This window comes from Homo sapiens, chromosome 22 (assembly GCF_000001405.40).
Source record: "Homo sapiens chromosome 22, GRCh38.p14 Primary Assembly".
Lineage (NCBI taxonomy): Eukaryota > Metazoa > Chordata > Mammalia > Primates > Hominidae > Homo > Homo sapiens.
Window position 1 is genome coordinate 38,011,901 of NC_000022.11, and position 24,056 is coordinate 38,035,956.

General features: G+C 53.2%; 1 protein-coding gene and 1 long non-coding RNA gene across 4 annotated transcripts in view, besides 4 other annotated features; one reads left to right on the forward strand and one right to left on the reverse strand.

The window, feature by feature from the left end:
- The window catches only part of POLR2F (RNA polymerase II, I and III subunit F), an 88,253-nt gene that overhangs the window by 58,238 nt on the left and 5,959 nt on the right, over window positions 1-24,056 (forward strand). The gene's annotated exons all lie outside the window — the stretch shown is intronic.
- Window positions 16,527-17,027: an enhancer, noted in NCBI's record as "H3K27ac hESC enhancer chr22:38424434-38424934 (GRCh37/hg19 assembly coordinates)". NCBI's record gives its function as "activates a minimal SCP1, AML or CMV promoter by ChIP-STARR-seq in naive H9 embryonic stem cells {active_cell/tissue: H9 hESC(naive)}" and the evidence as "EXISTENCE:reporter gene assay evidence [ECO:0000049][PMID:30033119]".
- Window positions 19,122-20,321: an enhancer, noted in NCBI's record as "BRD4-independent group 4 enhancer chr22:38427029-38428228 (GRCh37/hg19 assembly coordinates)". NCBI's record gives its function as "activates an origin of replication core promoter dependent on BRD2, P300/CBP, MED14 and CDK7 cofactors, and independent of BRD4, by STARR-seq in HCT116 cells {active_cell/tissue: HCT116}" and the evidence as "EXISTENCE:reporter gene assay evidence [ECO:0000049][PMID:35650434]".
- POLR2F-AS1 (POLR2F antisense RNA 1) lies at window positions 20,272-22,328 on the reverse strand. The gene is made up of 2 exons (NR_199596.1): window positions 22,265-22,328; window positions 20,272-21,255 (listed from the first exon to the last, which is right to left on the reverse strand). It is a non-coding gene; the product is annotated as a POLR2F antisense RNA 1 (long non-coding RNA).
- Window positions 21,333-22,608: an enhancer, noted in NCBI's record as "VISTA enhancer hs491". NCBI's record gives its function as "enhancer in: heart[3/7]" and the evidence as "EXISTENCE:transgenic organism evidence [ECO:0001131][PMID:17130149]".
- Window positions 22,904-22,993: an enhancer, noted in NCBI's record as "active region_18989". NCBI's record gives its function as "activates an Ori minimal core promoter by ATAC-STARR-seq in GM12878 lymphoblastoid cells {active_cell/tissue: GM12878}" and the evidence as "EXISTENCE:reporter gene assay evidence [ECO:0000049][PMID:35858748]".

Below are 24,056 nucleotides of genomic sequence, written 5' to 3' on the forward strand. Positions count from 1 at the left end.
GCATAGCTCTGCATTTAGTTATGTCTTCCTTAATTTCTTTCAGCAACATTTATTTATTTAAAATTTTATTTCTTTTTTCAGCATAATAAAGCACCAAGCAATCAGTAATATTTTATAAGTTTCATGTAGAGGTCTTCACATATTTTGTTAAATTTATCCCTAAGTATTTTATATTTTTATACTTTTTTTTTTTTTTTTTGAGACAGAGTCTTGCTCTGTCGCCTAGGCTGGAGTGCAGTGGCACAATGTTGGCTCACTGCAACCTCCACCTCCTGGGTTCAAGCGATTCTTGTGCCTCAGCCTCCCCAGTAGCTCGTATTACAGATACCCACCACCATGCCCAGCTAATTTTTGTATTTTTAGTAGAGAGAGGGTTTTGCCATATTGGCCAGGCTGGTCTCGAACTCCTGGCCTCAAGTGATCCTCCTGCCTTGGCCTCCCAAAGTGCTGGGTCTACAGGTGTAAGCCACCGCACCTGGCCTGTTTTTACTTTTTAGTTTGAAATAATTTTAGATTTACAGAAGCGTTGCCAAGGCAGTACAAAAAATTCCCGTATATCCTTTACCCAGCTTCCTCTATGTTAAGATTTTACATAACTATGATACACTTACTGAGAAATTAACATTGGTAAAATACTATAACAGAAGTACAGTCTTTATTCAGATTTCCTCAGTTTTCCCATTAATGTCGTTGTTGTTGTTGTTGTCGTTGTTCCAGGATCCAAGCCGGAATCCCACGTTACGTTTACTCACCATATCTCCCAGGTCTCCCCCTAACTGTTGACAGTTTCTCTATTCTCCTTCCTGTGTTTCATGACCTTGACATTTTTGAAGCGTACAAGTCAGGCATTTTGTACCATGTCCCTCAACTTGTTTTTTTCTGGTGTTTTTTCAAATGAGGGTGTGGATTTTGGGGAAGAACACCACAGAGGTGATTGCCCTATCATCACGTCATTGCAGGGCGTACATGATATTGATATGTCTTATTCATGGTGATGTCAGCCAGACCTCTGAGTTAAGATGGTGTCTGCTCCACTGTAAAAACAGCTGTCTTCATATTCTGTCCATCAGAAGTGAGTCACTAAGTCCAGTTCTCACTCAAGGAGATGGAAATGAAGCTGCACCTCCTGCCCCACAGAACTTATTCTAGCACTCCCTCATTGCTTAGTTATGACTTCCTTCCCTTCCTTCCCTTCCTTCCCTTCCTTCCCTTCCTTCCCTTCCTTCCCTTCCTTTCTTTTCTTTCTTCTTTCTTTTTCTTTTTTTCATATAGATTCTCACTGTCGTCCAGGCTGGAGTGCAGTGGCATGATCTTGGTTCACTGCAACCTCTGCCTCCCGGTTTCAAGTGATTCTACTGCCTCAGCTTCCTGAGTAGCTGGGATTACAGGCACATGCCACCATGCCTGGCTAATTTTTGTATTTTTAGTAGAGGCGGGGTTTCATCATGTTGGCCAGGCTGATCTCGAACTCCTGACCTCAGGTGATCCACCCACCTTGGCCTCCCAGAGTGCTGGGATCACAGGCGTGAGCCACTACGCCCGGTCAGTTGTGACTTCTTTCTTAAGCAGAGAGAAATCTTGCTATCATTGTCTATAGCATATTTACCTATCTGTTCAAACTCTGTGTACATGTAAAATGGTCTCAGAATTCCTAACTTATACCCTTGTCAAAAACAAATTTACTAGCTAGCATACAGTGTTTGTGTATAGTTCTTTTTGTCTTTAGCTGTACAGTATCTAGTAAAAACACCATTACACAAAGTTATTTAGGTCACCTCATTCTCTCTCCACATTCTTCTGTTTCATTCTGACATATTTATAATACAAATTTATCCCCAAGTTATCCCTAAAAATTTCATGTTTTGTGATGTGGTTTTAAATATTTTAAAAAGTAATTTCTAGTTGTTTGTTGCTTGCATATAGAAATATAATTGACTTGTGGCCAGGCGCGGTGGCTTACGCCTGTAATCCCAGCACTTTGGGAGGCTGAGGCGGGCGGATCACCTGAGGTTGGGAGTTCAAGACCAGCTTGACCAACATGGAGAAACCCCGTCTCTACTAAAAATACAAAATTAGCCGGGCATGATGGCGCATGCCTGTAATCCCAGCTACTCGGGAGGCTGAGGCTGGAGAATGGCTTGAACCTGGGAGGTGGAGGTTGCTGTGGGCAGATATCACGCCATTGCACTCCAGCCTGGGCAACAAGAGTGAAACTCTGTCTCAAAAAAAAAAAAAAAAAAAGAAAAAAGAAATATAATTGACTTGTATTCACCTTCTATCTTGCAACCTTGCTAAACTCATGTATAATAGATGTTTTGTAGATTACTTAGGATTTTCTATATAGATGATTATGTTGTTTGTGAATAAAGACAGTATTGCTTCTTCCTTTCCACTCTGTATGCCTTTTATTTCATTTTCTTGCCTTATTGCTCTGGCTAGGACTTATTTTTTTTATTTTTTTTTTTTTGAGACAGAGTCTCCCTCTTTTTGCCCAGGCTGGAGTGCAGTGGTGCTATCTCGGCTCATCACAACTTCTGCCTCCTGGGTTCAAGTGATTATCCTGCCTCAGTCTCCTGAGTAGCTGGGATTACAGGCGCCCACCACCACGCCCGGCTAATTTTTTTTTTTTTTTGAGACGGAGACTCAGTGTGGCACGATCTCGGCTCACTGTAACCACTGCCTCCCGGGTTCAAGTGATTCTTCTGCCTCAGCCTCCCAAGTAGCTGGGACTACAGGACCATGCCCAGCTAATTTTTGTATTTTTATTGGAGATGGGGTTTCACCATGTTGGCCAGGATGGTCTCAATCTCTTGACCTCGTGATCTATCTGCCTCGGCCTCCCAAAGTGCTGGGGTTACAGGTGTGAGCCACTGGGCCTGGCTCACACCTGTATTTGTATTTTTGTATTTTTTTTTTTTTTTTTTTGAGATGGAGTCTTGCTCTGTCGCCCAGGCTGGAGTGCAGTGGCGCGATCTTGGCTAACTGCAAGCTCTGCCTCCTGGGTTCACGCCATTCTCCCACCTCAGCTTCCCAAGTAGCTGGGATTACAGGTGTCCGCCACCACGCCCGGCTAATTTTTGTATTTTTAATAGAGACGAGGTTTCACCATGTTGATCAGGCTGGTCTCAAACTCCTGACCTTGAGATCCACCCGCCTCAGCCTCCCAAAGTGCTAGGATTACAGGCATGAGCCACCGCACCCGGCCTCTGGCTAGGACTTCTAATACAGTGTTGAACAGAAGTGAGATTGGATATTCTTGGTGTGCTTTGAAGGTAGAGCTGACAGGATTTCCTCAAGCACTGGAGTGTTAGTGATTACTATGAAAGTCAAACTTCTATTGGAGAAAGAGTTGGTGCCCATGGAAGGGGCCTGAGGCTCCAGCTGAGGTGGTGGGGATGGTTTGTGGGGAGCAGACAGGCTCAGGGTGTTGTCAGGAGCCCCTGCTTGGCAGAGGTGAGAGGTGGGTGAACAGGAGACTTTCCCATGTGTCTTCCTTCGTCTAGTTTGAGCTTGAACCTGAAGGAACTAACTGGACTCGATGTGATCTGGGGGAAGGAAGACAGGCTGAGACCTGTTTTGGGATCAACTCTGGAATAGCTCCTTGAGCACTCCTCTCTCCCTCAATCCCAGATTTCTGCTTTTGGGTCCCCCATCCAAAGTAGTTGAATAGGCAGGAAAGATTCCTGGATTTGGAGTTAGGAGCCCTGGGTTGGAATCCCGGCTCTGTAAATGCAGCTATGTGACCTGAGAGGTGTCCCAGCCTCAGCTGCCCCCTCTGTGGGGGCCATGATAGAAAGACAGGGGAGTTATGAGAATCCATGATAGCAACAACACCACCACCAACAGCAGCCACACCTGTCTAACCTTAACCATGTGCCACGCTGTGTTCTAGGTACCTTATTTTTGTTTGTTTACTTAACTTCCCAAGTTTCTGTGAGATAGGTATTATTATTATCCTCATTTTACTGATGGAGCAGTGGGAAAGGACCCCAGGTCTCATAAGTGGCGGTGGGGGTGCATCTGAGTCTCGGCCTCTGCTGGTACTGCCCATTGTGCTTTTGCTTGTGTGGCCTCCTCTGCTCAAGCATCCACCCCTCCTGGAACTCTCCCCCGATGGTCTTCCCTACTCTCTAGCCCACACCAGCAGTGTCAGGCCCACTGCCCTAGGCTCCTACATACTCATCCTCTATGTTCCCTTCACATTAGGGGTTATGTCTTGCTCAGCCTTACACCCCCTGCGTCTGGCCAGGGACTCAGCACCCACTGGGGCATCAGCGAATCTGTTTTGCCCTGAAAGGCACAGCTGGGCCAAAGCCTGGGGTCATCATCATGTAGACCCAAAGTGGGCTCTGACCACACCCTTGGGGGTCATTTCAGAAGGCCTCCTCCAATGAGGCATTACTCTGGACAAAGCCCCGGCCCAAAGGCATTTGGGAGCCTGCTCCTCCCTCTGTACCTCCACCAGCCGTCCCTGGGATGCTCCAGGAAGTGCTGCGCTTGACACACGCCCCCATCCGCCACCTCCCAGAGAAGGGACCATTGTGTCCGAAGGGTTAACGAGGGATGTGAGGAAGGGGCCCTTTAGCCATGATGCCCTCTGACCTTTCATAAATCAGAGGGGCTTAGGGGCGAGGGGGCTGCTTGGCAGGACTTGGTGGGGTGGGGGCTTAGAAGCAGCTGCGCGCGACGTTGACATTGTTCCCACCATTCTAAGTGCAACAAATCCCTCTATTGTGTTCCTGGTTTATCTGGTTCCTCTTGTTTATGAGCAGGGCTCCTTTGGCAGCGGTTCCAGCCCTGGGCGGGTGGAAAGAGTGCTGGCACGCACCGCGGGGGGAGGGGGCGGGAGGGGGCCGCCGTCAATGCCCGCATTGTCCCCGCGCTTTTTGTTTCTACTGTAATGACATGTTGGAATAGAGAGAGAGAGAGAAGGAAAAAAAAAAAGATACAAGCTGGGGAGGGAAGAGGAGGGCAGAAAAGAAAGAGCAGAGCAAGGGCCTGGTGTGGATTGATGTCTGGGCCTGGGCGGATGTGCCGGCAGCTGGGCGGCCGGGAGAGATGGAGCCAGGCCGGGGTGCCGGGGGGCAGCGCAAGGGGCCAGCCAGCCCCCCACCCCAGCCTCTGCTGCCTGGCACCAGGTCCCCCCACCACTCTCCAGCCCTCCTGAGGCAGCTGTGGGGCCGTGCCTGAGCGGGGCACGTGCCAGGGTCTGGGGTCTGCATCCTCATGTGCCCTGGGCTTGCTGTGCCACCCAAGGCAGCCTCTCTAGGTCTGGGTGCCTAAAGCCTGCAAAACTGGTGTGCTGGGGAAGAAAGGCTCCTCTGGGGGTTTTGGAAATGATGACGTGCCCTTCCTAGTCCTGGGTCTGTGCGTCTGAGCCTCGGGTGGAATAGGGGGCTCACACTAGGACAGAAAACCCTGAACTGCCCCCAGAGTGATCATGCTCAATGTCAGCTTGGCTCTTGGGGGTCTGTCTCCCAGCTGGGCCTGGTCCAGATGCGGGGGCAGGAGCTGAAAAAGAACCTCAGTAGGGGAAGGTGGGCCCTGGTACCACCTGGTTCTGCCAAGGGCTCCCAAGTTGTTCGCCATCTCTGGGCCTGTGGGTGTCTCCCTCTTCAGGTAATGGGCTGTAGGGTCCTTCCAGATCTGGCAGTCTGGGCTGTATCTAGGGCTATGTCCAGGTTGTAGGGAAGAGCTCAGAGCACCTGAATGGGTCATGCAGTCCCGTCAGCATCTCAGGGCTGGAGGGGCCCTCTGAGGCTGTGGCCTCTCCCTGCAACTTCCTGTAGGTCTCTCTGTAGCACCAGCCAAGAAGTCACCCGCCCCCGCTGGCACAGCTCCAGTGACATGGAGCTCACTCCTCACATGGCTTGCTCTGTCCTTGCCCAGCCCAGGCGTTTGGGAAGTTCTTTCTGAACTCTGTCTCCCTGCAGCTTCTACCCTTTGGTTCCAGTTCTACTCATTGGAACCATATGGAACAAGTTAAGCCTCCCTGAGAATTGGTTTCCTCACTTGTAAAATGGGCATGATTGTCCCTGCCCTCCTGCCACATAACAGAGGCTATAATGTGGGCCCTATAACGTGGCCATAAGGTGGAACGTTATCCAGATCCTCCTGGGCTTCAGCTAGGAATTTCTGTCCTGGGAAACCAGTGGGGACCATCCCTTATATGACGGAGGGCAGAGTTTGCTGAGAGGATTGGCTTAGAGTGGGGACTCAGGCTATAGCCAGGGCAAGGGCTCAGGCTGTGATCGAAACCAGGGCTCATCTGTGAACTTTCGTTCATTCTGGGAGAGGGCGAAGGCTCAGTCTGAAGTCAAGATCAGGGCTTAGGCTTGAGCCAGGTTAAGGGTTCGGTGTAGGGTTAGGATCAGGGCTATGTAGGATTTGGAACAGGGCTCAGTTTATAGACAGAGTCAGAGATAGGGTAAGCGTTCATTCTGGACTTAGGATAATGGTTCACTCTGGGGTCTGCAGAGTAAATATTCATTTTTGGTTTCAGGATCAGGGTCCAGTTTGTGACCAAGATCAAGGCTCATAAGTGTCATTTTAGATTTAGAATCGAGCTGAAGGAGGGGTCAGGGTCAGGGTCAGGCCTCAGGCTTAGGGTGGGGTCAAGGCCTCAGGCTATCACCGAATTCTGATGGACAATCTCTAACTAGTGTCATGGCTCCATCTGGGGCTGGGCTGGGGTCAGGACTCCGTCTGAGGCTGTGTTTTGACTGTGAGGTGGCCCAGGCTGGGCTGACTCCTGAATGTGCAGTTTTTGCATCTTCTCCCTGCTGAGAGTCCACCAAAGTTTTCTATGGTAGACCCCAGTCTCTGGAAGTTATCACCAGAGCAGGCAGCACCAGGATGTGCTGGTAGGTTCAGCAGTGGGGAGATGAGGCCAGATGCAGGAGGGTGTCCTCTCTCCAGGCAGCCCATGGGAGGAGGCCAGTGTGTGGTGCGGGAGAGCTGGGGAGGCTGGGGTCAGATTCAGGGAAGAGATTGGCCTCTGGAGGGCCAGGATGGCTCGGGCACATGAAATCCCCCCGTCTCCAGGGAGAACCAGGCCATTGGCCTCAGGATTTCCAGAAGATCCTGGGGATGCTTTGGGGCTGGGAAACATGGCTAATGTGGAGAAGAGTGAGCCGTGGAGGGAGGGGGTGGAAGAGGTTGGACCAAGAGAGAAGGAGGTGTGGGGGCACCTGGGCCTTTCCCTGTGCACGTGGCTGTGTGTCGGTGGACTGGGAAGGTGTGCATGTGTGTGGGTGTCTGTGTTGGAGTGATGGGGACTTGACACATGTTTGGGGCACAGTGTGGCTGTGGGCGGGGTCAGAGTAGGGGTAAGATGACACCCTCCACATCCCCCATTCCTAAGCTGCTGGTGCCGCTTCTTCAGCCCCCGGGCTTGACATTCCCCAAGGGTCCCGGCCATCCCCACATGACTGGCATCTGTGCCCTGGGCAACCATCAGCTGAGAGCCCGTGACTACTGCCCAGCAGCTGGAGACACTCCAGGAGCAGCCCGCCCTGGAGCAGTCCGTGGCCTCACAAGGACCTCCTTGGGGGTGGTTGGGGAGTGAACCCCTCAGGTGACAGATGTGGTCATGACCCCGTGGATCACACCTACCCTCCCTGATCCCCCAAGCACGCCCTGAAAATGGCCCGGTTCACAGGAATCTGCCCAGGAAATAGATCTGCCCAAGGCAGAGAGAGGGAGGGCGGACATGGTGGGGGGGCACCAGGAAAATCAGGCCGTTGTCTGGAAGAAGGTGGCATTCCCTCCTCACGTGGGCGGGGCCCACAGCAGTCCAAGTCTTCCCTGGCCTCTTAAGAAGTCTAGTGGGGCTGGGCATGGTGGCTTACGCCTGTACTCTCCCAGCACTTTGGGAGATGGAGGCAGGTGGATCACCTGAGGTTAGGAGTTCGAGACCAGCCTGACCAACATGGTGAAACCCCATCTCTACTAAAAATACAAAATTAGTGGGGCTTGGTGGCGCATGCCTGTAATCCCAGCTACTCGGGAGGCTGAGGCAGAAGAATCACTTGAACCCGGGAGGCAGAGGTTGCGGTGAGCCGAGATCGTGCTATTGCACTCCAGCCTGGGCAACAAGAGCAAAACTCTGTCTAAAAAAAAAAGAAAAAACAAAACAAAAATAAAACAGAAGTCCAGGTCCAGGTGGGCCGGCCGTGGTGGCTCATACCTATAATCCCGGCACTTTGGAAGGCTGAGGTGGGAGGATTGCTTGAGTCCAGGAGTTCGAGATCAGCCTGGGCAACACAGCGAGACCTTGTCTCTGCTAAATACACACACACATATATACACACACACACACACACACACACACACATACATATATATATACACATATATATACATATTTAAAAAAAATTTTTTTAGATGGAGTCTCATATTGTCTCTCAGGCTGGAGAGCAGTGGTGCAACCTTGGCTCACTGCAACCTCCTCCTCCCGGATTCAAGCAATTCTCCTCCTTCAGCTTCCTGAGTAGCTGGGATTACAGGTGTGCACCACCACACCTGGCTAATTTTTTTTTTTTTTTTTTTGTATTTTTAGTAGGGACGGCGTTTCACCACATTGGCCAGGCTGGTCTCAAACTCCTGGTCCTGCCGGCCTCGGCCTCCCAAAGTGCTGGGATTACAGGCATAAGCCACCATGCCCGGCCTCTACTAAAAATTAAAAGAAAATTTAGCTAAGTGTGGTGATGCACACCTGTAGTCCCAGCTACTTGGGAGGCTGAGGTGGGAGGCTTGCTTGAGCCCAGGGGATCAAGACTGCAGTGAGCTATAATCATGCCACTGCACTCTAGCCTGGGCAATAGAGTGAGACTGTCTAAAAAAAAAACACCAAAACACAAAGAAGTCGGGTGGGATCAGAAGGTTTCCTGCCACCTTTTCCCCTCCACCTCCACCCCCTCTCGTTGCCATGGTTTTCTTGGTTCTTCTGTGCTGTAACCATCCAGGGTCAGCTGCACATTCACTTACTTGCAATCAGGGTCATGATTGGGTATTAGGGCTAGGAGGGATCTGAGCTGCCTCCCAGTCCCACACTTGTGTGTGCTGCCTGGTGTGAGGCTCTTTTGCGGTTACTCCTGTCCCTTTGCTCATGGCCACTGGCTGGGCCTCTACTGTGTACCAGGCCCTCAGCAAAGCATCCAGGGCACAGAGGAGAGTCCCACGTGGACCTTTCCTGGGGCGCACACTGCTTCTGAGGGGAAGACAGCCAGCAAGGGAAGGCCCAGGCTGAGGGAGTGCCTGGCTGGGGAAGGCACCAGGAAAGGCTTCCTGGAGTTGCTGACCTTGAACCAAGGCTTATAGGTGAGGAGGAATTGGCCAGGGACGGTGCGTATGTGTTGAGGTTGGTGAGGGTAGCCCAGAATTTGCTGGTAGAGAGGGAACTTGGCCATGGGGCTGCCTTTGCCAAGCTCTTCCTTGTGGTTTGATAAGAAAAACTCTGGTGGGTAATAGCATCTGTCTCTTGGGGGTGAAGTGAGAATGACAGAATCTAATTTCTCCCATCTGTTAAAGGAGGCCACAAGACTTCAGTACTCCAATGATCTAAGCAGCTGTCCCTGACCTTTTTCTTTTTTGAGCCCAGGTTGGAGTACAGTGACGCGATCATGGCTCTCTGCAGCCTCGACCTCCCAGGCTCAGGTGATGCTCTCACCTTAGCCTCTCAAGTAGCTGGGATTACAGGCACGCGCCACCATGCCCAGTTACTTTTTATATTTTTAATAGAGATGGGGTTTCACCATGTTGGCCAGGGTGGTCTCAAACTCCTGGGCTTAAGTGATCCTCACGCCTCAGCCTCCCAAAGTACCGGGATTACAGGCGTGAGCCACTGCACCTGGCCAACCTTGTTGATTATGCGTCCTTCTCAGTAAAAATGTGGGGCACAGAGTCCCAGAATATGGACAGATATTCCTCATTTGAAAAATCTATTTGGGGCCGGGCGCAGTAGCTCACGTCTGTAATCCCAGTACTTTGGGGCCCAAGGCGGGCAGATCACTTGAGGTCAGGCATTCGAGATCAGCCTGGCCAACATGGTGAAACCCCATCTCTACTAAAAATACAAAAATTAGCCAGGCTTGGTGGTGGACGCCTGTAATCCCAGCTACTCAGGAGGCTGAGGCAGGAGGATCACTTGAACCCGGGATGTGGAGGTTGCATTGAGCTGAGATCGTGCCACTGCACTCCAGCCTGGGTGACAGAGGGATACTGTCTCAAAAAAAAAAAAAAAATTCATTTGCCTCCTGAGTTTGGATAGTATGAATCAGATGCATTTGAGTATTGAAGCCATTATTAAATATATTTGGGTCCTGAGTTTTGGATAGTGGAGTATATCTCACATAATTTCTAAGAATCTGGCTGGGCATGGTGGCTCACACCTGTAATCCCAGAACTTTGGGAGGCCGAGGCGGGCGGATCACCTGAGGTCAGGAGTTCGAGACCAGCCTGACCAACATGGTGAAACCCTGTCTCTACTAAAAATACAAAATTAGCTGGGTGTGGTGCCACATGCCTGTAATCCCAGGTGCTCAGAAGGCTGAGGTGGGAGAATTGCTTGAACCCAGGAGGCAGAGGTTGCAGTGACCCGAGATTGCGTCACTGCACTCCAGCCTGGGCAACAAGAGTGAAACGCTGTCTCAAAAAAAAAAAAAAAAAAAAGAAAGAAAGACAGAAAAGAATCTATTTAGTTCCTAAGTAAGATCTCAAGGCATTATCTGTTTATTTATTTCTAAGTTATATACATGTTTTACTATGCTCAACATGCACAAAGTAGAAGTTTTAAAAGAATGAGAGTAAAAATAAAAAAAGAAATAAGTGGGCCAGATGAGGTGGCTCATGCCTGTAATCCCAGCACTTTGGGAGGCTGAGGCAGGAGAATCACTTGAGGCCAGGAGTTCAAGACCAGCCTGGCCAACATAGCGAAACCCTGTCTCTACTAAAAATACAAGAAATTAGCCGGGCATGGTGGGCACCTGTAATCCCAGCTACTCGGGAGGCTGAGGCAGGGGGATCGCTTGAACCCAGGGTGCGGAGGTTGCAGTGAGCCAAGATCGTGCCATTGCACTCCAGCCTGGGCGACAAGAACAAGACTCTGTCTCTGAAGAAACAAACAGACAAAAAAACAAACAAAGAAACAGAAATAAGCATTGAGATTCTCCTTCTGTGCTCCACTGGGTTATTTTGTGTTCCCCTTGGGGTGTCCCAGCCGTCTCTGAAGACTCCTGGGCTGTGATAGGGACTGGGAGGAGGGTGCCTCCAGAGTGGTTTTCCCAGACAGCAGTGGGGTCTGGCAGGGGACCTAGTCATAGAAGGCATTTGTTTATCAGCACACGTCACTGTGCACCCATCTCACCTACACGTGGCGCTGGGACACTGGGGAGAAGAGATCCAGCATCTGCTTGAAGGACGTCAGTGATGTCTGCTTGTCTTCTGTTATCAACAGGCTACAAGGCCTGAAAACTGTTTCTTAAAATCTATGAAAAGGTCTTCCTCATCAAACTGTAAGGGACTCGTGCCTTTTTTTTTTCCAATAAGTTTGTGTGTGTGGTAAAATATATGTAGCCTAAAATTTCCCATATTAACTATATTATTGAGTGTACAGTTTCGTGGCACTAGGTGCATTCATATTGTGGTGCATCCATTACCACTATCCATCCACAGAACTTTTTCATCTTCCCGAACTGAAACTGTATGCCCATTAAACACTAACTCCCTTAGCTCCAGCCCCTGGAGATCCCCATTCTTCTGTCTCTATGATTTTTGCTTTTTTTTCTTTTTGGGATGGAGTCTGGCTCTGTCACCCAGTCTGGAGTGCAGTGGCACGATCTTGGCTCACTGCAACCTCTGCCTCCCGGGTTCAAGTGATTCCCCTGCCTCAGCCTCCCGAGAAGCTGGGATTACAGGTGCGCACCACCACGCCTGGCTAATTTTTTTTTTTTTTTTTTTTGATACGGATTCTCACTGCGTTGCCCAGGCTGGAGTGCAATGGCATGATCTCAGCTCACTGCAACCTCCTCCTCCTGGGTTCCAGCAATTCTCCTGCCTCAGCCTCCCGAGTAGCTGGAATTATAGGTGCCTGCCACCATGCCCGGTTAATTTTTTGTATTTTTAGTAGAGACGGGGGTTTCACCATGTTGGTCAGGCTGGTCTCGAACTCCTGACCTCAGGTGATCCATCCACCTTGGCCTCCCAAAGTGCTGGGATTACAGGCATGAGCCACAGCGCCTGGCCCTGTCTCTATGATTTTGACTACTCTGGGGACCTCAGAAAAATGGAATCATATAATATTTGTTCTTTTATTTCTAGTTTATTTCACTTAGCATAATGTCTTCAAGTTTCATCTATCTTGTGGCGTGTGTCAGAATTTTCTTTTTATGGCTGAATAATAAATTATATGGATATAACACATTTTGTTTATTCATTTATTGATGGACATTTGGGTTGTTTCTACTTTGGGCTATTACGAATGATGCTGCTATGAATACGTGTGGTCACATTATCTGTTTGAGTCCCTGCTTTCAATTCTTGGTGACTTTTATAGCGAGAATTCTTTGACAAGTTTTCCTTGGTTTTCGGTCTTAGGGATCACGGTTTTGTAAGCTACAGCATGCTGAGAGGACTGTAACAGATGTTTGTGGGGGCACAAGACATTATGGGGGTGCAGGAGGGCAGGGGCAGGGACAAACATGGGAAGGACGGACACTTGGTGCTGACTGAGAATGCCCCAGGCAGACCAGGTCTGGGAGGTGGGGGTGCAATCCATGCAGGTGCGGAGGGTCAAGGGAAGGTGGTGCATCTGAGGGCATGATTTGAGAGTGTGATTTGGTCTGGCCGAAGTGCAGGGAACCAAGGAGGCTGGCAGTGGGAGAGGACTGGGCAGAGTGGCTCAGAGACTCTGCCTGCTCCTACAGTGTAGGCAGGACCCTGGAGGGGTCGTGCAGGGTGCTGTGGACCATGCAGAGGAGTCCACGGAGGGAAGAGGAAGTCATGGAGATTCTTAGTAGTGGAGGGGAGGGTCTTGCTTCACCCCAGGGGCTGGCTCAACCATTGGTGCCACCTTGCACCAGGGATGCCTGGAATGTCAGGGAAGCCAGGTGGAGCCAAGGCCTCCACCCCACAGCAGGTTTCTCCTTTCTTGGCGTTTCCGGGCCTCTTGGAGGTCCCTTCTGTCTCCTGGTGTCCTGGTCCCTCCAGCCACTCAAGAGGACATTCCCTAGGCAGCTTGGCCTGTTCATATATTTGACCATTTCAGGGCTTAGCTCAGTCTCCCTCCCAAGAGATGTTCCCAAATATGGTCCCTTCACGGTGACACATGTGCACTCACTTGCTCACACACACACACAGGCACTCATGTACTCCCACAACACACAAACACACACAGATGCACTTGCAATCACAGCACACATGCACGTACACACATGCAATTATACACACAATCACAACGTACACACACACACGCACAGTCATACACAATCACAATACACATGCATACACATGCCCACAACTCACAGATACACATGTGCACACACTGATTCATATACACACACGTACTCAAAGATACGATCACAAACACACATTCACACTCACAGTCCCAACATTCACAAATTCCCTGATCGTCCCCCTCGTTTGCCTGTCCACGCCCTTCTCCCATCTCTCTCATTTCCAGACTTCTCTGGGGGCTGGAATACACAGTGCTGAGACCCTCCTACGCACTGGCCCACAGCCTAGGCTCTTTCAGCATCTCCTCCCGCTGACTTCTCCCGACAGTCCTGCTGGGTGGATATCATCACCCCATTGTACAGATGCATAAACTGAGCCCAGGTTGCTGATGGTCTCACCCGAGCTGAACACAGGATCCAGGGCACTCAATCTGCACCCTCTTTTGGGCACTTTTCATGGCCAGCATGGTGTTTCCTATGTATGAAACTCACTTCACCAAGTTGACATCCTCCCCAGGGCTGGGACCGTCTCTTCTCCCTCCTGTCTTCTACATGGGATGGACTCAGGAGCGCTCAACAGATGCTCTGAAATCAATGACTCTGAATCTAGAAGTCAACCGGAGAATGTGCTCCTCAGAGGGCCCTGGAATCTTCCCCTCGTGCACTTGGGTTTCAGTTTGCTGAATAAGACGGACTCTGCTGCCTGCTCTTCAGAGAAGGTTTTGGTGGAGGACTCCCCTCAGGTGCCCCTGCCTGGATCCCCCACTGCCCCAGAAGGCTGGCCTTCAGATGCCTGGTAGGCGGGCACCAGGTTGGGGAGGAGGCTTGGTTGGTGCCTTGTCCATCCTCCTGAGCACTGAAGCCCTGAATAGGCAGCTTCTGAGCAGAACACTCAATTTCCCTCTCTTTCCCTCCTGCCCAGGGTAGCTGGCTTGCTTGACCCAAGCATGGACAAGTGAGAACAGATGAAAGAGGCCAGCAGACCCAGGACCCAGCCCTTTCTCTGCCACCAGCCAGCACTCACTCTGCTGTGTGACCTGAGACCAGGCAGACCATCTCTCTGGGTCTCAGTTTCCCCCTCTATAACACCAGGGGCTGGTCTTCATGATCCCAGGGCCCTCCCCAGCTGTGCCCATCTGCAACTGTGAGATTCTGAGAGCAGAGGAGGGAAGGCGGGATGGCCCCTCTTTCCCCACCGCCTCTCTCTGTCCCCCAGGGTCACCCCAAAGCCGCCCCCTCCCCCGGCTCCCTGGAACTTCCCTGCAGCTGCAGGCCTGGTGAGACAATTGGGTGTTTTAGAGAAATACATTTTTGGGCTAATTTGCCATGCATAAGTGTTTCTCTTACCCTTTAAAGGCGGAGAACAAAGAGGTCTTTCTGTGCCCAGGCAGGCTGCTGGGGAGGGGACGCAGCTGTACTGGGCTGGCGACCCTCCTCCCTCCCCCCATCCCTGCGAGCGCCCCACCACACCGCCCACCGCCCCCCAGAAGAGACAGCCCGGACTTTCCCAGCCTCCCCCAGTCTCCTACCCCGGCTGCCTCTGAGGCTCCTCTGGCCCTGCCTTGCCCCAGCTCCCCCTCCCAGCTGCCCCAGGCAAGAGGGAAAGTGTGTGTGGGTGGGTGGATGGACGGGGAGGGGCGTGCATGGAGAGACAGCGGCTTTCCATGTGGCCCGGGTGGCGAGGCTCACTGGATGGTGATGGCCTGCGGGATGTGTGTCCCTGTCCCTGGGGACTGTGCAGTGTGTCGTGGAGTGCGAGATGGCATAGGGTGCGGGATGACGCCAGTCCTCAGGTGACTCGTTAGCGTATGGGGGATACACGTGGTCCATTCATTCGTTCATTCATTCATCAACTAGTCTCTATTGAGTTCCTCCTACCTGCAGGCCTCAGAGTGCTCCCATGCTGGGTGAGGGGCACCTGTAGTTCTAGGAAAGCACGCTGAGTTCGTGTTCTTCTCACAGGATGTGACTGTGGGAGGGGTTGCATGGACAAAGGTGTAGAGGCGTGAAATGGAGGCGTGTCACCCATGTGGGGCAGGGGTCAAGAGCAGCTCAAGGAGGTCTCTGTCCTCTGCTCAGTGGGGGTGGTCCTGAAGCTGGTGGCTTCCGCAGCATGTCCTCCTTGGCCACAGTTCACTGTCCACAACCTTTGCCCAGGCCATTCCTTCTGCCCGGAACTCCCTCCTCTCGCTGTGCTATTCTGAGACCACATCTGGCCTCATGTGGGGCCTGTCACAGCTCCCGATCCTCCTCCATCAGAGCTTGGCCCCCAACAATCCTCATTTGCTCCTGCAGCACACCCAGAAACAAATGCTCATATGCACGTGTGCACACACACATTCCCCCGCCTCCGCCACCCCAGGCCTGTGAGCAGCCGGCTCCCTGTCTGCTCCTCCCCATCCTCATGAACTCCTCGGTGTCTTCCCCAGCACCCAGCACAGTGCGGGCTCATAGGCAAGGACACTGGACACCCCCTCCACACTTATAACAGCAGCTGCCAATGTTTATTGAGCCCTTACTGCATGCCACAGTGTGGTGGACATCAAATGCATTTAATCATAACCACCTTACAAGGTGGCGCTGTTACCCGCCACTGTATTCTAGGGAGGAAAACTGAGCTATAGAGAGGTTAGGATTTTGCTAAAGATCATCCAGCTAGCCCTTAGGGAAGGAGGCGCCACAGTCAGGGTTGTAAGCCATCGTATCTGCATCACCGAAAGTCCCTGCTCCCTGGAGCTTTCTGGGATGTCCTGGCCCACTGACCGCCCCTTTTGACATCCCGCAGCTTGTTCTGTGTGTTCCCTGACTACCTTGTGTGCATGAGAGAGAGAGACTGCGCTAGAGATGGAGGAGGTCACCACATGAGAACAGTGGGGACCTGGGTGATTTAGACAGAGACACAGAGCCAGGATTGGAGGCTGCGTGGGCTGCTTTCCTGCTGCACGGCGATGCTTTAGGGTGGGGGGTTTCAAGACTGATAAGGGATTGGGAGCCCCTTCTCACAGCCCCACATGGTCTTCCCTGGGGTCAACACACCTGGATGGCACATGGACAACTCCCTGTGCTCCAAATGTCAGTGCAGGGTGACTGATACGGGGGCTCATGACCCTCTGTGCCTGCGCATGCATCTGTGTGTGCGTGTGTGTGTGTGCGTGTGCGTACGTGTGTGTGCATGTGTGTGTGCGCATACGTGTGTGCATGTATGTGTGTGCATACGTGTGTGCATGAATGTGTGTATGTGTGTGCCTATGTGTATGCACGTGCATGTCTCTGGGTGTGCTTGGGAGATAGAGAAGAAAGCAGAAATTGGGGAGAGGACAGCGGCCACATAGCCACTGTGTCCCTCTGTGGGATGGGGAGGAAGGGGCAGCAGCAACAGCCTGTCCCGCTCCTGCACACACACCCTCTGAAGGTCTGAGTGAAATAGGCAGAGAATGGGATGTGGCTGTTTGTCCTGGGGGCTTTAGGGGACCCTCCACCCGCACTGTGATAGGCAGGCAGCTCCCAGGCCTGTCTGAACAGGAACTCTGCCAGCTCTCCAAAGGCCCTGCAAGCCCCGGCCACTCCATCACAGCTCATTGATGGGCACTTATGGGTGCTGACTGTGCACTTGGCTGGTGAGCCAGGCCTGGAGTGGGCAGGAGAGGCTTCTGAAAGGGTTTCAGAGGAGTCCACAGTCTGAGAGAAGAGAACACCCTGAAAAAGGGAGTTCAGGGGTCTGAGGAGAGACTGCTGTGGTCTGCAGGGTGAGGTGGTGCTGGTGAAGGCAGCCGAGGAAGGGGCGTCACCCACTGGAAGGCTTGCAGCTTAGGGAAGGAGACTTGAAGATTAGAGATGGATAAGGAGTGGGGCATATCACAGAATCCCAGAATAGGAGATGCAGAATGTCTTTGGAAATGACCCCGTCTAAGTCTGGCTTATCCAGAGGGGAAAACTGAGGCCCAAGGATAGTGGAGGATGACTTGGCTGACAGTGATGGAGTCATTTCAAGTTAGTTCAACAAGCACCTCCTAAGCTTGTTGGGCACCAGCCTGAGGATAAAGCCTTAAATAAGGCTCTGTCTCCTCTGGCTATGGTCTAGTGGGGTGATGGACAGACAGATAAGCACTACCCTGTGCCATGAGTGCAATGATCAGTGTGTGCAGGGCACAGGGGCAAGGGGGTAATGGAGGACTTCTAACTGGCAAGACCTCTCAATGGAGGCAGCACCTGGGATGGGTTTTGAAGGATGCAGAGGAGTTTGAGACTGACCACAGAATGAAGGGATTGGTTTCCAGGTAACCTGGATGGTTCAAGTTGGTTTCTGTTTTTGCTACCTGTGAAGCAGTGACCAGTCTGTCCTCCATTAACACCCCATCATCTGGGAGACTGCAAGCAAGCTAGGGAAGGCAGGGGATTTTGGGGTGTCTCTGTCCTGAGGCAGAGGATTGGATGCAGGGTTTCCCAGGGTCTTAGCCTTCACCAAGGCACCATCAGGTCAGTCCTGGTTGTGGAGCCTTCGTCCACGCTCCCTCCCATTCAGCCAAGAAACATTGATTGAACACCAATTGTGAATGAGCCTTGCAGGCTGGAGATGATTTCAAGAGGCAGAGTTAGGGGAAAGGCATTTTGGGAAAAGGGAATAGCGTGAGCCAAGGTGAGGCTGTTGCAGCAGCAGGAAACTAAGGAAGCAAGGGCCTTTTCCACAAGCATCATCTGTTCTTGTTTGGCTCAAGCGTGGGGGCAGCAAGGGAACAGTTAAGATGCAGCTGGGAAGATTGCCTGGGCCTGAAGCTGGGGATGGAAAACCCAGGGGAGGAGTCTGGACTTTTATTGGTGGCAAGTGGGAGATATCAATGGATTTTGAGCAAGAACGACTCCCCGAAGATCCCCAGATAGGGCTGGGAGCTTGAGAGAACCCACAAGCCCCCTGGGGAGCCAGGAGTCGGGCCCTCTGGACAGTCATGTGCTGGTAAATATGCTTCACAACCAGCTCTGTTTGTGGAGGTGGGAGACACAGAGGTAGACTGCCAATTTTCATAGTGGAAAAAGTCCCATCAGGGCAGGCTCAAAGCTTCCAAGGTAATATCAACTGGCTTCGATTCCAGAGACTTTCACAGTTGGCTCTCGGGAGCCAGTGTGCGCTGACTCCAGCGCACTGCCACACCCTGGGTTATAAACTGTATTTGCCCAAGACTGCTAGTGCTCAACCCTCCTTCTCCCCGATCATTCCCATGGTGCCCTGCAAACCGGAGCCCGAGGATAGAAAAGTACTCTGTGGTTTGTCCAAGCCCAGGGGACCGCCATGGTCTGAGACCCCAGGCCTGTGGGTCTGAGACTTAGCTCAGCTGCTTATGCACTGGGTGATTCAGGCACATCCTCACTTCTCTGGGATGACTTGCTTTGCAGGGTCACTCCCGGGATAAGAAGAGGTCATGCAGTGGGGAGGTGTGGGTGGGGGCAGGGTTGTGCTGGGAAGGCCTGGGGAGCGTGGTCAGTGGTTCCCCGGGGATCAGGAACAGGCCCTCTCCCACCCCACCCCCAGCTCAGTTGCTGGACAAATCCATCAGATCAGTCGGCTGTCACCAGTAGGGGGTGGGAAAGGCAGGGTCTGTGAAATGAGGGGCCCTGGGACAGGACGAGGGCTGGAAGAGCTGTGAGAGGCCCTGGGCAAGAGGTAAGGAAGCAGGCTACAGACCACCAGCACTTCAGACCCTGCCAATGGAAAGACGGGTCTTGGCAAGTGTCGGTGTCGCCCCCTCCCTCCTTGTCCCTTGGGAAACTCCTACTACTCTGTCAGGCCTCAGCTCCAGCACACCTCTTCCAAGACGCAGGGGTTAAGAGCGAGAGTTTGGGTGTCATTCCATCTGCAGGGCCCTGGACAATCTGCTTCATCTTTTTCAAACTCATCTGTAAAATGCGGACAGTAATACCACAGAGCCTGCAGGATGGTTGCAAGGATTAAATGAGATGTTCTTGGCACGGAGGAGCCTACTTCTGACAACAAGGATGCCCTCGTTCCTTGGCTACTTCTCCTACCCACGTCCCCCCACAAGGTAGACTTGGCCCTCTGAGTCCTCACCACACCACCCTCTTAGCCCAGGTAGTAATTACAGTCATGTCTGTCTCCTCCATGGAACAGTGAGCCCCTAAGTGTGGGGACTGGGTCTGATTCACCACCAGGTCCCCAGAGCCCAGTGCAGGACCTGGGCAGGCACGGACTTCACACCCTGTGCCGCTGTCCAGGTCCCCACCAGCACCAACACCCTGTCCCAGGCGCCTGATGTCACAGGTGTCCCGGCTGAGTGGCAGCTCCTCACTCAGCTTCCACTTCCTCACGTGTGACCCTGGTGACCTCCGAAGGTTGCTTCCAGCCTGAAAGTGCTGTGAGTCCATGTCTCAAACCCGCGTCACCATGCTGCCCCCAGACCAACCCCTCCCCGCTTCCCTGCCCCATCAACGGCCCCACTGTTCTCCAGTGACCCAGGCATGAAGCTTCGGAGTCATTTTTGACTCATCCATCCCCTTCATCCCCTATGGCTAGTCATCGGCCATGACAATTTTTCCTTCCAAACACATCCGTAGTCCCCTCCCCAGCATTCTAGTCCCCTCTGTCTTGGCCTCTGTTTTGGTCTGAAGTCTGGAGATTTTGTCCAGTTTCTTTTTTTTCTTTTACTTTTTTTTTGAGACAGGGTCTTGCTCCGTGGCCCAGGTTGGAGTACAATGGCGCGATCTTGGCTCACTGCAGCCTCAACCTCCTGGGCTTAAGTGATCCTCCCACTTCAGCCTTCCAAATAGCTGGAAGCCTAGGCACAAGCCACCACACCCAGCTAATTTTTAATTTTTTTGTAGAGACAGGGTCTCACTCTGTTGCCCAGGCTGGTCTTGAACTCCTGATCTCAAGCAATTCTCTCACCTTGGCCTCCCAAAGTGCCAGGGTTACAGATGTGAACCACTGCACCACACCTGGCCTGCTTTTATCCATTTTCTAACTGGCCAGTGTCCTCTCACCTTCCACCACAGCCATCTTCCCAGGAGAGCTCTGGAGTTCCACTGTTACGGTCCTCCCAAAAATGCACAGCGGGTATCTGACAGGGGAAACTGCTTCACACCCATCACCTGCCCCTGAATCCATCAGTCAGGAGCCGAGCTGCTGCCTCGAGGCTGAGTGTGCCCAGGAGAGACCGGGGTCTCTGCCCACAGTCAGGCACATAGTCCACTGAGCTCTGCTATTCCTTAGGCCCAACACTGGGCATGGGGCAGGGAAACCAGGATGCTTGAGGCATAGGCCCTGTCCACACCCTGATTGGGGACATGGATGGATGATGCCACACTGACACAGTGTGCTGTAGGAACCAACGTGGGGTGGCGGACGCCCCTCATGCTGCCTGGAATCAGGACGTGTCACAGAGGACAGACAGTCGAGCTGGGTCTTGAGGAATGAGCAGGAGTTCTGCGGAGAGGGTGCTTCAGCAAGGAAGCTGCCTGGATGCGCAGTTATGAAGGCCTGCAGGGGCAGGAGGGGTGGCCACGGTGGGAGGTGGGGAGGCCAAGCTGAGAAGGGCTCCGTGGGCCACTGGTGAGCTGCCTCTGGAATCCCTTACTGCCGTCCATAATTCATGTCCCCCACACGGAGCATGACATAATTCATGTCCCCCACATGGAGCATGACATAATTCATGACCTCCCAACCTGTGACGCAACACCTCCTTGTAAACATCAAAGCAGCCATCTGTGAGCCATCTTTGAGCCCAGGAGGTTGAGGCTGCAGTGAGTTGTGATCATGATACCGCACTCCAGCCTGGGCCCCAGAGTGAGACCCTGTCTTAAAAAAAAAAGAAAGAAAAAAGAAAATTAAAAAAAAAAGGAAGTGGACAAAATCTTGAGATTTTGCACAGAGCTGTCCTCCCTAGTTGCCCTGTCTTTCTTCGCCAGCCTTTTCAGGTGGACGGGGCATGGCTTATCTCTCCCATTTTACAGATGAGGACTCTTGAGACCTACAGAGAGAAAGCGCTTGTCCAGGGCGGCCTGCTAGGCTCTGGTAGAGCCAGGGCTGGAATTTCCCTGGCCCCAGATCCCAGAGTCTAGAGGTTGCAGCGGGGTTCAAGCCTGGTTACCCAGTCCCTCTGGGGTAGGGCTGGTTCTGTAGGACCAGATGGGGCGACAGACAGGCCCAGCTGCTGGGAACTCCAGGACCAATCACCAGTGCCCACAGAGCCTCGCCAAGGCAAGCCCTGCTGGGCTGGCACAGCCTCTGAGGCCAAGCCTGCTCCCCCAGTGCAGTGGGGGTTGGGGGATGGGATCTGGCCCCGGCGGAGCGGGAGGGACTGGGTGGCGGATTTGTGTTTCCACTTGATTTCCTCAGTTGTTTTCCAAGAGCGGTGGCAGGATCCTGAGGGGAGGGGTGGATGTGGGGAAGCCACCGGAAGGCGCCACGGCCCCGCTGCCTGCCCCCCATGTGACTCCACTGACTGACGACAGTGCCCGTGGAAGGGCCTCGAGGCTTCTGTCCTGTGCTCGCTGGGAGAGGGTGTGACGTGGACGAGGGCACTGGGCGACTCCTCATGACCCATGCTGACTCTAAGTTTGCTGCTCACTTGGGGCCCCAACCCCTTTGATTCTGGGAGTCAAGAGAGGTTGTGACCGCCGCTGACCCCTATTCCCTGCACCATCCCAGGGGTCAAGTGGCTGGGGCCGAACCCGGACAGGGCAGGAGTGCCCCAAAACCTAGGGCTTGGCATGGCCCCTTGGTGTCCTCCCGACTCCCCTTGTCAGCTCCTTCCGCCTCCCCTTCTGCTTCCTCTACTCCCACCGTTTCAGCCTTGCTGCCTCACCACCACCATCTGTCCCCCAGCTCCTTGGGCCTGTCCACGCTGCTCCTCATCCCCACTAGTTGTCTTTTCCGCCTTCCAGGGCTGCACTGGGCTCTCACTGGGCCTCGGGCCACAGCCTCTTCCCTTCCATGCACCCCTGCGTCCCAGGCCTGGCAGCTTCCCCAGGCCTGTCACAGAGGAGTGGGGTCAGCCACTCCTGGCTTCAGAATCTGCTCGGCCACTTCCTGGCCACGTGGCGGCAGGCAGGTCCCAACCCTTCTCTGGGCTCCAGCTTCCTCCTCCAAGAAGCGGGGGAGGGGATAATGCAAAACCAGCGACCTCCTGCACCAGCTCTAAGGAGACCGAAGTGCCCAGCATGGGGCGGGGTGCGGAGGCAGCCAAGAGCTCAAAGGAGAGCCAGGCCACTTGGAGTTGAAATCCCAGCGCTGACACCAGCCGTGCAGCCCTGGACCCCTCTCTGAGCCTCAATGTCCCCCTCTGTAAAATGGGGATAATAATAGCAGCTTCCCCTTGGGACAGAATGAACTAATCCCAGGGGAGACCTGTCAGCCTGGGCTTTCTGGAGGGGGTTGTGCCTGCGCAGCTCGGAACAATGAGTCAGAAGCAGCCAGCAGAGACACAGAGCGCACTGGAGGTGGGGGCAGGGCTTGAGCAGAGGCCAGAGGAGAAACCAGTTGGGAGCTTTCGGCCCAGGGCTGGGAGTGGTGGGAGGTGAGACCTGGGGCCGTGGCCTAGGACGAGCTGGGGCTTTCCAGGATCCCACCCCAGCCTCCCCACCCCACCTTGCTAGCCAGGGGGCTGACATCCCTCCCCACTCCCCAAGCAGATTCCCTTGTGCTGGTCCTTCCACCTAAGCTCTCCCCACACCTCTTGGCCTCTGCAAATCCTGCCCATCCCTCCATAACACACATAGTGTAGGTCTTGCTTCTTCCAGGAAGCCTTCCCTGCTCTCTGCCATAGCCATCTCTCTCTCTCCCCCTGTGTGTGTCTCTCTCTCTCGGTCTCACACCCTTCTGTGGCATCGCCTGTGGCACAAACTCACCATGGTGGGTTATTCTGTAAATGGTGCACATCTGGAGCCCATTAACTGTTAACAACAGGCGCCTCCGAGGCCTTTACATCCAGTGTGGTGTGTGCATACCCCTCACCTTGCCTGATTCTCAGCACCATCCTATGGGACGAGAGGGATAAGCCCATTTGACAGATGAGGATGCTGAGGCCTAACAGGCCAAGGGGCTGCTGCCCAACGGTCTAGAGCAAGTCAGTGGGGCAAGTGGGAATCAGGGGTCGCTCTCTTCCCTTCCCAGGGCAGGGGGCCTGGCAGGAGCACGTTTCTTTTCTGTTCATTTGCAATCCCTCGGTCTATCCTGCTCGTGTCCTCGGGGCCATGCAGCCTCCCTCTCCTGCCCACCGGCCTCTCTGCCATCTGAAACCTCCTGCTACTATCACCACTTTCTGCATGACTGCCCCACCTCACTCTCCAGGTGCTGCCTGACACCCGCAGGCACTTCATATGCATCTGCTTCATAACCATGGCTGAACTGAGGCACCCGCCGGGCCACTGGGAACAGCAGAAGAGGAGGGGAAGCCCTGGCGGGAGCGGGTGGGAGGTGCTGCCCCTTCCCAGCTGGGTGACCATGAGTTGCAGCCTCACGTCTCAGAGCCCCCTTCCTGCCCCCAAAGGGCAAGCTGCCTTCTTTTGATGAACCCACAAAGCTCCAGGGTGGGTGTGGTTTTACTGATGAGGAAACTGAGGCCCTGGGAGGCCAGGAACCAGCCTGAGGTCAGAGGT